The sequence below is a fragment of the Homo sapiens genome, chromosome 7 (assembly GCF_000001405.40).
Source record: "Homo sapiens chromosome 7, GRCh38.p14 Primary Assembly".
NCBI lineage: Eukaryota > Metazoa > Chordata > Mammalia > Primates > Hominidae > Homo > Homo sapiens.
Window position 1 is genome coordinate 63,899,898 of NC_000007.14, and position 16,578 is coordinate 63,916,475.

Genomic DNA, 16,578 nt, shown 5'->3' on the forward strand with positions numbered 1-16,578 from the left:
TGGGCCTTGCAGCCAGCTCGGGGTCCAAGGGGCACTCCTGCGGTGCTGCAAAGGAGGATTTGTGACAACCCAGAGGATGGAGGAAACGGCGGCTTTGAAAAGGCAAGTGCCAAGTTATCAGGGATCGCTTATATCCATTTCTGGCAGTGAACTGACAATTTCAGACACTCAGGAGGGAGCTTCCCGCGTGGGATCACAAAAAGTCCGAGAAGTGTCAGACATCTGGCCATTAACCCCATTCCTACGCAGGGACTACACTGCCGCTTGTCCGAAGGGGCGTGTCAGGGGCGGAGCGAGGATGAGGGGCGGTGCCAATAAAAGAGGCGGGGGAGAAGGGGCGGTGCTGAGGGGAGAGGCCGGGCCAAGGGAAGAAGCGTGCGAGAAAGGGTGGGGCGAGTCCAGCTACAGGAAGAGTAGCGTTACTATGGCAACCCTGACAGGTTTGTGAGCAGCCCCCGGTCCCCTGCCGCTCCGTGAGAAATCAAACTTCAGGCACTGACGAAGCATGAAGCCAGCATCTTAGGAAGAGGTAGTGACATAATTACAAGGTAGGACCAACCGCCCTGGTCCCACTGTCGCCTGGCAGGCAGGAGAGGTTTGGGAACAGCCAGGCTCCCCTTGACATGGCAGTACTGCTCTGGACGCGGGGAGGTGTGGATTAGTGGGTGGGAGCTACACCTGGCATACTGGGAGTTGTCGTCTTTGATTAGCTTCCAGTTTTTTAATTGCAGGGCGACCGGATTACAATCACAGCCAGCATGAACATGGGGCGGCGCACAGTCCTGAAGAGGAAAGCCGGGCTGTGTTGACCTCGCTGTGCATGCTGGGAGTTGTAGTCTCTTCACTGCTCCCGCCCGTTGTTTCAGGCACTTCGGGACTACAATCCCAGCATGACCCGGGCTCGGGGACGGGGCGCAGTTCTCGTGGGAGGAGCGGGGCGGTGAGAGCCTGGCTAGGCAGGCTGGAAACAGTAGCTCTTAACGGTCCCCCGCCCGTTGGTGGCAAGGCGGCTGGACTGGAATCCCAGCAGGCGACATGCGAGGAGGCGGGCAGCCCAGGAGGGTTGGACACGGCAATGTGGACCTCGCCGCTTCCACAACGATGCTGGCTACTGATCGCGTGCACTTCCTTGCCAAAGAAAGTGAGTCCGGAGAGGGACAGGAGGGGCAGGTCCGGGCTGGGCAGTGAGGAGGGCGTGACGCCGCGATGTACACCTCGCCCTTGTCAAACTGGGACGGGTGTAGTCCTCACCCCACTTCCCGCTGCTCAGCTGGGTTCCCTCTCCCACCTGTACCCAGGGTCTTTCCTGGCCATCGCGCCTCCTGCAGCCCAGGGAGCCACCGGCTTTCCTAAGCTGCTGTGGGAACTGGCCTGAGGTCCAGGCGCTGTCCATTGTGCCGCTGCCCTCTTTTCTCTCCAGCCAGAGCGCAGTTCCGCCGCTGTGGGGAGAAATCCGCCGCCTGGCCCGCCAGTGCACAAGTTCAGAGCTTTGCACGGGGTGACATGGGCTGTGGCTTCGTGAAAATGTCACCCTCACCAGCGACTTTTTCGCGGATGTGGATATTGAGGGGGCAGGGAGGGCCATTATTGGCTTACCCAGGAGATGCTAAAAGCAGAGGAGAAAATTTCAGTTCCCAGGCGTGTGTCTCTGGTGCGCCATTTTTCACCAACCCATTTGGTAGAAAGTCCCCCAAATAGCTACCTAAAGATTAGGATGGTTTAGGTATTTTACACGTGATATCATTGGCCTCATCTCAACAAATGTCTGACTGGCCAGTGTCTCAAACACAGATGGCAGCCTGATCCTCAGGAACAGGTGGTGCTCCAGCTTTGTGGGAGCGACTTTCAAGGTGTGGACCATTTGGGGAGTCTTTGTAACTCCTCAGGCTTCACATCTTTGCTTTGAATGGAAAGCTCATCACCCCCCGGCACTCCCGGAGGTACCTTTACTCTCTCGGGCTGATCTGTTGACCTTTTCTGTCTAGACAATGGGAACTTCTGGGATCACTTCTAGTTTCGTGTAATTGATGTCCCTAATTTCCATATGTCCCCAGGGACAGTCCCTTTGATTCTGGAATGGCGCCAGCTTTTATGCTTTTTATGTCTAATCCGTAAAAACCAAGGTGTTCATCTACATGAAAATAAGACCTTGTTCGTATCGCACGTTCCAACAGGCTTCATTTGTGATTCCTGAATGTGGATTACCATAAAAAAAAACCCTAAAAACCCTGGTCATGGATATTAGACACTGTTATTGTACTTTGTGAAGAATTTACTCCTTCAGGATTAATTGCACACGGGCTCATCAGCACCTTTGTCAATAAAGGAACAAGAACCATGTGGTGTCTATGGATGTGGTGAGATGAGGAAGAGCCACAGCGCAGCGGTTCTTCTCTTGTTTTCAATAGAGTCTGTGGGGTCAAGTACCTGCGTTTCTCCCCCATCCCCCAATATTCTCATTCCACTCCTGAGTGTTCCGTCTTTAGGTGGAAGTTTCTAAATACACTTGTCCGCAAGTGTTGGTGGGGATGTTGTAACGTGAGGGCATCCATCATCCATCACCTTAAAGATAAATGGAGAGGATTTTGTGGTCTGTGTTCAAGAGGCACTGCTGTTGGGTGTGTTGCTGCCAAAACACGTGATCTCAGCTGTCCCCAGCAGCTGTCTTAGAAGATTGGTCCTGATGTAGCCACAGCTGCTGTTCACAGAGCCAGGAGCTCTTTGCAGTTTGGTGTATTCTGCTGAGATTTATGGCTCCGACCCTCCTCTGCTCTGCCATTCCTGGTAGTAACTGCTCAGCTGCCTGGTTTGCTCCAGTGTCCTGGGACCCTGTTATGTAACTGCATTTCAGAGGGTCTTAAGAGATTCTACCCTCACTACACCAGTCACTCTACACTGGCCGTGCACTTAGCTTCTTGGAGCCCTGCTTGTGTCCTCTTAAGTGGAGCTGTGAAGAGTTCTAGTTAGGGATAGATCTCGTTCTTATGCGCTTCAGGCTTATTAGAAAGCTGATCATCTCGTCTTTGGACACATGGACATTGTTACTTTTGTGTATTTTGAAGTCCGATGCTGTTTTTTTTTTAAATAAAAAAAAAATGTGGACCCTAGCAGTAACAGTCACTTTTAAATATCTTTGTGAATTTAACTCTGGCAACAACTCGATGATGTTGGCATGCAATCCCCATTTTATAGGTGTGGAAACTGACACTCAGAGAGGTAGAGTAGCTTTATTTACTTCACACAAGCTTTTGATGAATTTCAAGTCTCAACCTAGAAGTCTTCCTCTAGGGCATGATCATGGCATATTCTACTTTGTTTCTCTGCCAGCATCCCAAAGGGGTCCACATCTCATTAGGACTCCATTTTCTTAATAACAGGAAATTTGCAGAAACAGGCCTTTTTGGGGGAGAGCACTCACTGGGACTTGGCCTTCCCTGTCCTCCACCTTCCCCTTGGCAGAGCATAGGTGATTTGAGGGAGCTGGAGCAGCGGTACCTTACCTGGAACACTTGTTATGTAAAGCCCTCACCTGGAACGCTTGTTGTTATGTAAAGATAACTACCTCTCACTTTTTTAGGTGTGATTTTTTTTCTTCTAATTATTCCTCTGGGCTTTCTCTTCTAGATTTGTGCTGTGCACTAACATGCAATACAAATACTGATGAAAATAAAACTATTGCCCTCCTACCAAATGGTAACAACGCTTACATTTTTCCTTTTTCTAATTATAAAAGAAATGCATACTGTTTTAAGAATATCAGATCATAGAGATCTTTATGTAGTGAAAATCTCCCATGTCTTCCTCTTTGTTCCAAACTCACTCTCTTCTTAGAAGGAATTATTATAGCTTGGTGTTTATTTTTCTGGATGTTTTCTATAAATTTATAAATACATATAAAGTTGGCCAGTTGCAGTGGCTCTCGCCTGTAATCCCAACACTTTGGGAAGCTGAGTGGGGATAATCCGTTGAGCTCAGGAAGTTGAGGCTGTGGTGAGTTGTGATTATGCCATTGCACTGCCATCTGGGCGACAGAGTGAGACCCTGCCTCCAAAAAATTTTTTTAAAAAAAGGAGATACATACCTGTACAGTTTTTGAACACATTATATCATACTATATTGTGTTTTATTTTGCTATTTCACAAGCAATATATCATTTACACTATTCCATATCAGTGCATGAGATTCTATTTTTTTTTTGAGATGGAATCTTGCTCTGTCACCCAGGCTGGAGTGCAATAGCACGATTTCGGCTCACTGCAACCTCCACCTCCTGGATTCAAGTGATTCTCCTGCCTCAGCCTCCCAAGTAGCTGGGATTACAGGCATGTGCCACCAGGCCTGGCTAATTTTTGTATTTTTAGTAGAGACAGGGTTTCACCATGTTGGTCAGGCTATCTCGAACTCTTGACGTCAAGTGATCCTCTCGTCTCGGCCTCCCATAGTGTTGAGATTACAGGCGTGAGCCACAGCACCTGGCCTCTATTTTTAATGTCTTAAATATATTCCAAAGAATGGGTATACAAGACTTGTTTCACTGTTTATTCTTTGATAGAAACTTAGATTATTTCTAGTTTCATCATTGTTAAAAAATGCAGTGATAAGATTCTTGTACATAATTTATTACACTGATAACTAACTGTTCAGTTTATCTTGCTGCCTCTTAGTCGGAGAATATGTCATGAGTTTAATATTTATTTTATGATTTGATTCATAGAGAAATTAATGTTATGACTGGATGAAGACAATTGTGAAGAAACTGCACTTTGAGGTTGTCTATCTCTGTATTCTGATGGAAAAGCGTGGAGTTTAGAAGCACTGCTCACTCCTTCAGTTTCTAACAAGTCAGTATTCTCATAGCAATTTAAATTTAAATGTTCAAATTACCTCTCCTTCCCTGGTTCAGAATAAGTATGTTGTTTTTCTGTTTGTAAAATTTCTGACTCTGGGTTTTTTCAGTTGGGCTTTAGAGAGGATAACTCCCATATCGCTGTTGTATCTATTTCTCTTCAGCATCTGGCTGCATGTGATAAAGATCATAGAATTAGACCTGGTCCTGTATGTATTTTGGGACAAAAATTCAAAGTAATCAACTCAAGATAGGAGTCTACAACTTTAATTCTTAATAAAAGATTTCCTTTGATTTCCCCACATCTTTATGATTCCTAGTGTAGCAGGACAAGCCACAGACAAAACCCCTCAGACACCAAGTTAAAGAAGGAAGTGGTTTATTTGGCTGGGAGCATCGGCAAGACTCCTGTCTCAAGAGCCGAGCTCCCCGAGTGAGCAATTCCTGTCCCTTTTAAGGGCTCACAACTCTAAGGGGGTCTGCTTAAAAGAGTTGTGATTGATTGAGCAAGCAGGGGGTACGTGACTGGGGGCTGCATGCACTGGTAATTAGATCACAACAAAACAGGACAGGGATTTTCACAGTGCTTTCTATACAATGACAATGTCTGTGATCTATAGATAACATAACCGATTAGGTCAGGGGTCGAACTTAAACTACCAGGCCCAGGGTGTGGTGCCGGGCTGTCTGCTTGTGGATTTCATTTCTGCCTTTTAGTTTTTACTTCTTCTTTGGAGGCAGAAATTGGGCATGAGACAATATGAGGGGTGGTCTCCTCCCTTACTAGAAGAAATTCACCCATGGGTGAAGCATGTGGTTCTGTTGAATAATGTTTTGTTGGGGATTTCCACATCGAGTTTCATGAGGCATACTGTTAGACAGGGTTTTTTTGGTACTGTCTTTCCCTGATTCTATTGGAGAGTAATACTAGCTTCCTAAAATATATTGGGAAATGTTCTCTCTTCTTCTACTTTTGGACAATATTAAACTCATAATGACAAGTTTTCTTGTGAAAATGCTCTGAAAAAAATGTAGGGTGGGCTGGGTGCAGTGGCTCACACCTGTAATTCCAGCACTTTGGGAGGCCGAGGGAGGCAGATCACGAGGTCAGGAGTTTGAGACCAGCCTGACTGACATGGTGAAACCCCATCTGTACTAAAAATACAAAAATTAGCCAGGCATGGTGGTGTGTGCCTGTAATGCCAGCTATTCAGGAGGCTGAAGCAGGAGAATCACTTGAACCCAGGAGGTGGAGGTTGCAGTGAGCCGAGACTGAGCAAGACTCTATCTCAAAAAAAAAAAAAAAAAAGTGTAGGGTGCCTTTTCCTTTTGTAGTACCTAACATTCTTTATCTTGATTGGTATTTACCCATATACCTGCCAATGGTTCAATGAGCCCCTGTCTTCTACTCTCCAATTGTACCGTACTTCAGCCCCTCCTCCCTACTTTCTGGTACTCAGCCCCATGTTTTTCTCTCCTCACATTCTCAACCCTATCTCCTTAACATGTGGACTTCCATGCTTTTCTTATATCTTCCCACCATGCACTGCCAGGAGGCTCTGCAGGCTCTAAGCTGGGGCAGCAACGCGGTCCCCTCTCTTGCTTTCAGCCTCCAGACCTCAGTCCTGTGCTCCTTGCAGATGCTTCTAGTGTTTGGAAACATCTGGTTCATGTGGTTGGTCTGGCTTCCTATGTGTTTGGTGCCAGAGGGAGTCTGTTTCTTGCTCTTCCACCATACAGAGAAGGCAAAGCTCTGAACTGATTTTGAAATCAATTCTTGGTTATTTCTTTTGGGCTGAAATAAATTGACTATTATTTTGTGATGACATAAATATTGTAGCTTAGTTTGTGGTAGTTAGAATTTCATGTTTATTTATTGTTTCACAGGCCATGCTACCACGCGCAGCCAATGTTTTATTGTTTGGTAGAGGCATGGTCTCACTCTGTGGCCCAGGCTAGTTTCCAATTCCTACGTTCATACAGTTCTCCCACCTTGGCCTCCCAAAGTGCTGGGATTACAGGCATGAGCCACCACCCAAACTTAAATTTTTTTTCATTTTTGTTGTTTTTATATGCTTTAATTACTTTTTCTTTTTCTTCTGTGTATCTACTAAAGTTTTTTTTCCTAGTGGTTATCATGAGACTTATATAAAACATGTTGTATCTTAACAATCTTGTTTGAGATGATGACAATTTAACTTCTATGTGTAGAAAAACTTTACACATTTTCTCCCTTTCACACATTTTATACTATATATGTCACACTTTACAATTTTTTATTGTGTGTCCATTAACAAATTATTGTAGCTATTTTATTTTTAATTTTTTTATACATTTTGTACTAAAGTTCAAAGTGACTTATGCAAAACCACTACAGTATTAGAGTATTCTAAATTTTACTATGTATTTACCATTTTCACTGACATTTATACTTTAATATTTTTCATATTATTAGTATTCGGTCATATCAATATAAAGACTTCCTTTTAGCATTTCTTGCAGAACAGGTTGAGGTGTGATAAATTCCCTCACCTTCTTTTTTGTCTTGAAATGTTGGAATGTCTTGACCTCTATTATTTCTAAAGAACAGCCTTGTTGGATAAACTCTTCTTAATTGTCAGTTTTTTTCCTCCTTTCAGCATTTTGAATATATGGTCTCCAAGTTTGCTTGCAAAGCTTCTGCTGAAAAATCCACTGATACCATTATAAAGGTTTCCTTCTATGTGAAGAATTTATCTCTTGCTGTTTTCAAGATTTGTGCTTTATCTTTGTATTTTGACAATCATAATGTGTCCAAGGGCAATCTTTATTAGGTTCTTCTTGCTGAAGATATTTGGAGCTTCATAAAACTTGATGTTCATATTCTTTTCTAGATTCAGAAAGTTTTAAGACATTATATATTTAAATCTCTGTTCCTCTTTCTCTCTTTTTCTGAAATTTCTGAAATGTGTATATTTGTTCACTTTATGGTTGGTTACTTGTAAATAGCCTGTCTTTGAGTTTGCTGAATTTTTCTTCTTTATTATTGATTCTCCTGTTAAACATTTCTATTATATTTTTTCAGTTCTGCCACTGTTTATTTCAGTTCCAGGATTTCTGTTTGATTTTTTTTTTACTTGCTCAATCTCTTTATTTAGTGGCACACATAGAATGAATGAATGAGCTCTTAGTTGTGCCATACTTAGTAAGTCTGATCTTGCTTATAGAAATAGGATCTTAATAATTCATTCTCAGAACACTTTAAAACCCAAGACACAGTTTTTCTTTCAAGGATGTGGAAAGCATTCCTCATTCAAATCTGATTTATGGTTTTATAAAGTATGTACCTCATTTTTATTAGTCATTATCTTCATGCTAGATTCTAATATTCTTTTTGATGGTGGCGTGTTCAATGATAGAAACTTACAGAGAGAAAATTCCTTCCTTCTCAATTTTAAACAAAAATTTTAAAAGCAACATTTTTGATGTGGTAGGAAGACATTTATATGACATACACAGCTACTGCCTTAAACTGGCAAAAATAACAAAAGAAAAAATTGTTATTTAACCTTTAAATAATGAGTATCTATTTGCTACAAATCTACAAATATTTTAAATATATTTCCTCTACTGCAATAAAAATTAAGATAACCCTCTGTTTAACAGCTTTTGAAGATGTTAATTTTATAAGGAAATAAAAAAGATTGACTTGCCTCCTGAATATCCAGTGATAAACTGAGCCCTAATTTCCCTCCCTCAAGAACATAAAAATGATGTAAAGTGGATCAAAGTATGTAACAATATTAACAATATTAAAAATGATTTTTCATATGGTCTTTCACTAATCAATGTAAAAAGAATGTAAAAATGTGTTTTTGCTTGAAGATTTAGTGAATGTCCAAGGAATCACAATTTTTGAGCTTTTACATCCAGGGTAGTATACTATGTGAAAATACTATAGTGCCTCATATAAAAAAGCACAGTGATAAAATTTCACATGTAAAATAGCCTAAATATCAATAATAATTACATTCTCCATAATCGTTTATTATCTAAAACTTCAAAGCCATCCATCTTTTTCAGTGCTTTGAGTGAGTAATCAAAACAATCATGTTTATTCAGGTTTAAAACTTAATTTCTCCTCTTGAAATCTGGAGGCATAGATGGAAGAGACACTTAAGGTCATTTTTTCCAACTTCTTAAGCCCACATATGTGGAAACAGTCTACAACATCTCATTATATCATCATTGACGCACCTTCTTCACCAGTGGCATCGTGGGAAATATGAAAGTCTTCAGGCATCTCAGCCAGACTAATTCCAGGTGCTCCTTCATCATCATCACTTTCCACAGGGATGGTTGACTCTCTGTAAATGTTGACATTTTTTCTAATTGCCTCATCTTCTTCAAGATCTTCAAGAAAATCTTGGTATTGCCTTTCATCATCTGTATCCATGTTCTCTCTCCTGCAAGCTCTTTCAGTTTCCAGTTTCTACATCACTGATGTTTGGTCCAGTCTTAGTTCTTCTTGATTAATACCACATCTGGAACTCTATCTGAGTTCATTTTGTTGCCATGCTCATCATTTAAATTGCAGCTGGCCAAATCAAACCCTAACACCAGCTCTCCAGGATTTAGAAGATGTCCCAAATGAGTATGACAAAAATACTGTTTATCTGTATTCATTTCAGATGTCTTCTGTACCCAGACTTCCCTGAGGGTATGCTTTTTTGATATCATTCCAGCATCTGCACCGTGTTTTATATTTCGGACTATGCTGCATTTCATCACAATAAATTCCTCTAGCTGTTTGGGGTGACATAAACTACTGAAAGAGTGACTCCAGAAAGTGCTGCCATCAATATCTGCAACTTGTAGGGTGTTTGGATCAATGAGGTGAATGGCACTGGTTATTCGAATACACACACAAATCTGGTTCATATTTCCCAGGCTTTGTGTCAGTTTTGGAGACAGACAGACAACATAATCCTGGCATATTGGAACAATTTCCACAGAAAAAGTGCTTTTGTAATTGTATGTATTACTATGGACATCCTGAGAGATCAGTCTTTGGGATGCGTTGTATCTACAGGGAACTGTATACTGAATAAATTCGACCATCTTCTGAGCATGTGGTTTTGAGGAATAATAAAAATCCAGACCATCATGAATCTCTTTGATACGAAGTGTATTCTGATGCCTTCCATATTTCAGAATTAACTGTTCCAGATAGTAGAAAGCTTTTTTGTGCAAAGTCTTTTGCCTCACTTGAATCACAGCCCTCCAGAAACCCTTAGCTTCTACTCTATGGCAATCTCCACATATTTGGGACTGAACAGCATAATCCACCACAAACACTTGTTGAAGGACAGCACCATTCATCACCTCTTTCTGGAGTCAGTTTAACTTTAAATCTCTTAGAATGGGGCTCAGTCCAAACAAAGCCTGCATTCACAAGCCGTTCCTTACTCAGAGGGGCTTTGAACACAAAGCAAGAAGTTCCCTGGATTCTAAAGCACACCGTATCCAAGTTCCTGGTGGCTGAAAATACCTTTGACATTGTTTGTAGAACAAAAGTGAGACTTGTTTTGGAATATCTTGGCTGATGCCCACTTTACTTTGCAAACAGGCCACACAAATATTGGCAGGATTGGGACTTATTGCAATACCACACTCACAGCACAGGATGAGTCCAGGGCTGCGGTCAGTCGATTCTGTCATATACTCCATTGTTCTGTATGCTTCACACCTCCAGACCAGCCCTGGATTTGCTGAAAACCTGCAACAAAATAGACCCCGGCTGTCCTGTCAGCTGCCACCATGGCCATCTTCACCACAGCGAAGATCTCACGAAGTGGTTGTTTTTTATGGTTTCTATTTATCTATTAAAATAATTTTTTAAATATAGGTGGGGTCTTGCTCTATTGGCCAGGTTGGTCTTAAACTCTTGGTCCCAAGCAATTCTCCAGCCTCAGCCTCCCAAATTGCAGTTAGCACAGGTGTAAGCCAACATGATCAGCCTATTTATTATAATTCTCATTTTGTTTCTGTGTCATTTCATAACATTTTTAGTTATCTATTGGTGTTCTTTTGGATTTTATTGAAATCTCTTGATGATTATTTTTAATTCTATGTTGGCCAATTCTGAGATCTCCATTTCTTTGCAGATTTTTACTAGAGCTTTATTAGTTTCTTTGGGTGATGTTCATGATTTTCAGATTCTTTAAGATCTGTGCAGGCTTATGTCTGTGTCCCTGAATATGAAGGAGTAAACACATCTTCCACTAATCATAGGAGAGTTTTGAAAGATAAATACTTTCTCCTATTGGGTCCCTGGGCTGATGAGATTTTAATTGACATTGCAGTTGAGTTTGTTGGAGCCAGGTCACATAATTGCTACTTGGTCTTTAGTGGGTTTCGTGGTTGGCAGACCCGTTATTAACACATAAGACAGTTATAAATTCTGTCTGTTCCCTGGAAGAGTCAACTTTCTTTTTTTTTTTGAGACGGAGTCTCGCTCTTTTGCCCAGGCTGGAGTGCAATGGCACTATCTCGGCTCACTGCAAGCTCCGCCTCCAGGTTCACGCCATTCTCCTGCCTCAGCCTCCTGAGTAGCTAGGACTACAGGCGCCCGCCACCGCGCCCGGCTAATTTTTTGTATTTTTAGTAGAGAAGGGGTTTCACCGTGTTAGCCAAGATGGTCTTGATCTCCTGACCTCGTGATCCGCCCGCCTCGGCCTCCCAAAGTGCTGGGATTACAGGCGTGAGCCACCGCGCCCGGCCAAGAGTCAACCTTCTTTAGAATATCGATTATCAGGACTAGTGCTGAGATAAGAAATTGCAGTTGTTTCTGCATATGGGGTGCTGGTAGAATAGATGTAGACAGGTGTGGCTCCCACTAGGTCTCTGGGAGTGCGCTAATCCAGTTATTAGACAGCTTACTGGATGGGCAGTACTGACCCCTAATCAAAGCTGAGAGCCATGGGAACTAATTTATAGGGCTGCTTCAGGATACACGAGTGAGGCTAAATTCTTCAGTTCTGTCTCTGGGTCCATGGTGTATTTCCCTCCAGGTTTCTGGGTGGGTAGGACTGCTCCCAGACACTGGCTGACTGGGATTAGAACTGGGTTACAGGGCTGCTTTAAGATTCACAGTGAGACTGATGTCAGCAGGCCTGCCTAGAGGGGCACTGATTTATGATTTTAGGCAAATCTCAGGTTGAGCAAAACTGCTTTTGAACTGTGCCTGCATGAAACTAGAGCCCAGCGCCGTTTCTGTTTTCTTTTCTTTTCTTTTTCTTTCTTTTTTTTTTTTTTTTTTTTTTTTTTTTTTTGACAGTCTTGCTCTGTTACTCAGGCTGCAGTGCAGTGGTGGGATTTCGGCTCACTGCAAACTCTGCCTCCTGGGTTCAAGTGATTCTCCTGTCTCAGCCTCCCGAGTATCTTGGACTGCAGGTGCCCGCCACCACCCTGGCTAATTTTTTGTATTTTTAGTAGACACAGAGTTTGACCATATTGGTTAGGCTGGTCGAACTCCTGACCTCAGGTGATCCACCCACCTCAGCCTCCCAAAGTGCTGGGATTACAGGTTTAAGCCACTGTGCCCAGCCCAACCATTTCATGATCCACATTCAGTTCAATATTGATTGTCCTACATCCAAGGAAATAGATGGATGTTTTTCCCTGAGGGTCCCTGTGTGGACAAGATTTCTCCCTGACCATGCCTGAGAAGTAAAGAAGGTGAGTTTTGTCTGATTCAGGGACTACAGACAGAACCAAGTTTTGCAGGCCTGTCACCTAAGTCTCAGGTGAGTATCAATTCTCCTGGGTTTTTGGCAGATGGTTGCAGTGGCAGGACCAAGGCCTAGTGAGCTATAGCTAAATCTACAGTGGGATGTGGCAGTATTTTGTTTTGGAGCTGGGACCATGATTGGCAAGCACGCCACTTGGCCAAGGGCTTACTCTCTCAAATTGTTCCCCTTGGTCTTTGCCTCCAGCTGTCACAAACTGACCTGGATCCCAAGGCTCTTATAAATGCAGTTTTGTTTGGCATGGCTTCCACATTCTGTTGTGGGATATGCCTGCAGGACCTCCTGTTCCATCATCTTGCTTATGTTACTCTCCTATACACTTCACTTTCTGAAATGAATGTTGTTTCTGACTTTTAGATTCAAAAGTTACACATTATGTAAGATGTAAATTAAATTACCAGTAGGTGCCCACATATTTATTAAAATATTTCATTATAATTTTAAGCTCACTGAAAGCAAAAAGAAATCATTAAAATTTATATTCATTTTCAATCTGTTTCTAAATGCCAGTATATTTTAATTCCAAATATTTACTTTAAAGCCAGGCACCATGGCTCACCCCTGTAATCCCAGCATTTTGGGAGGCCGAGGCAGGTGGATCATTTGAGGTCAGGAGTTCAAGACCAGCTTGGGCAACATGGTGAAACCCCATCTCTACCAAAAAAGAAAAAAAAATGCCAAGTGGTAGTGGTGGGCAACTGTAATCCCAGCTACTCAGGAGGCTGAGATAGGAGAATTGCTTGAGCCTGGGAGGCAAAGGTTGTGGTGAGTCAAGATGGTGTCACTGCACTCTAGGTGACAGAGTGAGACCCTGTCTCAAAAAGTAAATAAATAAATAAATAACTGAAATATTTACTTTATACTTCAGTAATGCTGATTGTGTTTTGCAAAATTTATGTTGTTCTTGTATTTTAAAAATATAAAGTTTTTATTAGCTCCCAAAGGCCATATTATAGACAGTATATCTGTGTAAGAATACCACCAATATATTGAGAACATGATAAAAACTTCTCCTACTGTCTCTTTAATGCTTATTTGAAAATTTTCTCATTAGTCTATTATTAATGATTGTAATGTATTTTCTATGAAGTTTTACTGTTCTTCATTGAATAGCAATGATTCACAATGTCTTCTCTTCATGAGTACACACAGTTAAAAACTGCAGATATCTAAAGAATTATTTTTCATAGTATATCTATGTTGTATTCAGCATTTTATGCATTAAAATCTCTCTTATTTTCAATTCTATATTTATTGTGTTTTTGGGGGGGTATGATTTCTCAGATCAGTTCATTGTATTTTTGCATTTAACGCTTGATATTATGAATTGAATAATTTTTTAGCTCTGTACACTTTAAGACAATAAGATGTTTAATTTATATGTAAATTAGCCACATGTCTGTTGCCTATAGACATATCTACGTGTTTTCACCTATGTAAATACTGCCCCTACTTTGGTTATGACATCTTTTTTTCCTTGTTTTTTTTTTTTTTCCAGTTTCAGATAGGTTTTTTTTTTTTTAGAAAGAAAACTTTAAAACAGAATCAAAAGAACAGAAATCAGTTATCTGTCCTCTTCCTTCCTCACAGGTTTGAGACTATGGTTAGGTGGTGAGGAAGGCAGGCTCAGCACCCAAGCCTTGGGGAGACGCAGAAAGGGCCCATCCCAGGCACTCAGGTGGAGGTAAGCATAGCCTTTGGGCCATAAGACCTCATGGCCACTGGGGTGCTGGTCTGGAAACAAGTCCTCATCTTCCCAGAAATGTCATCTTTTGTCTGCAGCAGCTGGCTGGAGAAAGATTTCAGAAAGGTGTGTGCCTGGGGCACCCAAAGGCATGACCTTCCTTTCTCCTTGGCATAGGCCTTACAACACTGAGGAAAGGCCATGGTTTGGCATTGGAGCCTTCAATAGTTTTCACCCCTATGGATCGAAAAGATTGTCCAAATAGAAGCTTATATAGGATGTTAAAAAGTAAACTGACAGGACTATGAAAATTGTCTCCCAACAGAGTACAGCTTTTTTTTTTTTTTTTTTTTTTTTTTTTTTCTGAGAAAAAACTCCAGGATGGAGTACAGTGGTGTGATCTTGGCTCACTGTAACCTCCACCTCCGGGGTTCAAGTGATTCTTCTATCTCAGCCACTCGAGTAGTTGGGACTACAAGTGCGTGCCACCATGCTTGGCTAATTTTTTGTATTTTTAGTAGAGACAGCGTTTCACCATGTTGTCCAGGATGGTCTCAATCTCCTGACCTTGTGATCCGCCCGCGCCTGCCTCCCAAAGTGCTGGGATTACAGGCGTGAGCCACTGTGCCCGGCCCATTTTGTTAAAAATACAGAAATATTGGTAAAACCATTATCAAAAGCATTGTGGAGCTTTCTAAAAACTTACAATACCACATTATCCAGCAAATCCACTTCCAGATATATAACCAAAGGAAATAAAACTAGTATCTAGAAGAGACATCTGTGCTCCCATATTTATTGCAGAATTATTTACAATGACAGATGTGCAAACAACCTAAGTATTAATAAATGAATGGATAAAATAATTGTGGAGTATTTATATAATGGAATATTATTCAGCCATAAAAAGAAAATCCTGTTATTTACAACTATATGAATGAACCTGGAGAAGAGTAGGCTGAGTGAAATAAGCCAGACAGAGAATGAGAAATATTGTTTGATTTCAGTTATATATGAAGCCTAGAAAGTTAAAGTCATAGAAACAGAGAGTACAAAGTGGTTTCCAGGAGCTGGTGGGTGGGAGAAATGGGGGGTTGTTAATAAAAAGTGCAAACTTTCAGGTATAAAATAAACAAGTTCTAGTGGTCTACTGCACAGCATGGATGTTACTGAATGTTATCTTAGTCTGTTCCAACTGCTGTAATAAAATACCTTAGAATAGATAATTTATAAGCAGTATAAACTGAGTTCTCACAGTTATGGAGGCTGAGAAGTCCAAGCTCAAGGCACCAGCAGTCTAGGTGTCTGGTGAGGGTCCAGTCTCTGGTTTCAAGATGGCACCTTAAATTGCTGTGTCCTCACACAGCAGAAGGACAAAATAGGCCAAACTCATTTTCTCAAGCCGTTTTACAATGACAGCTAATTGCATTGTTAAGGGCAGATTTTTCATGCCCTAGCAACCAACTAAAGTCTAATACTATTGTATTGAGGATTAAGTTTTAAAGTAAATTTGGGAGGGACACAAATATTTGAACAATAGGAATTATGTTAATTTAACTGATTGTGAAAGTGATTAGACAATGTGTGCATGTATCAAGTCATCGCATTGCACACCTTGAAAATACTCAAGCCTCACTTGTCAGTTAACATTTTTAAATTAATAAAATAAAATGTGGAAGTAATTTATCCTTTGAGCAATAAAAAAGTCTACTGAAGATTTTTTTAACACCAGCACTACTTTGGCTGTTTGGTGTTGTGAGATTGCTAAAAACTGAAAAATGCAGAAAGAAATGGAAAGAATCACACACAGTCTTCACAAAAAAGTCAGCTCTGAGTGTGAGGTGGTGTTAATCTGGGCGAGGCAATGACAAGTGATGGCAAATAAAAATAACCCTAAGACAAGATTTTCAGAATAAATTAAATTTTCTTAACTTACTGGAAAAAATTACATTACTAGCCATGTAACAAACCTATTTTGTACAGGTGGTGAAACCAAATTTTAAGTATAAATTATGATGTATTAAAAAACAAAAAGAATATTTTTGTGGTCTTAGAAAAAAATTATTAAATGAACCAAGTAAGCAGAATATACAACATTTTCAAATACTAAAGAAAAAAATCATTGAAAATTGCAAAATTTTAGGCTCCAAAAGACTCACTAATTTAATAGAAGCAGAAATCCTACAGCTAGAAAATTTGCAGATAGAAAATATATTTTTCAGCTTGGAAATCAAAATGGAAACTACAAATTCAAGCGT

The 16,578-nt window shown here is 41.1% G+C and overlaps 1 long non-coding RNA gene and 1 pseudogene across 9 annotated transcripts in view; one reads left to right on the plus strand and one right to left on the minus strand.

The window, feature by feature from the left end:
• LINC02848 (long intergenic non-protein coding RNA 2848) overlaps positions 1 to 16,578 on the plus strand; it is a 25,305-nt gene continuing 8,727 nt past the window's right edge. For 5 of the 9 annotated variants that reach the window (NR_186798.1, NR_186797.1, NR_186800.1 and 2 more), the window contains exons 1-3: positions 943 to 1,141; positions 4,715 to 4,841; positions 14,227 to 14,320. This is a non-coding gene — a long non-coding RNA (long intergenic non-protein coding RNA 2848). Of the gene's footprint in view, positions 103 to 331; positions 549 to 731; positions 1,142 to 3,624; positions 3,694 to 4,714; positions 4,842 to 14,226; positions 14,321 to 16,578 lie in introns of those variants that run through there. The other 4 variants (NR_186803.1, NR_186804.1, NR_186805.1 and 1 more) reach the window with 4 other exon arrangements.
• NMD3P1 (NMD3 ribosome export adaptor pseudogene 1) lies at positions 8,468 to 10,664 on the minus strand (annotated as a pseudogene).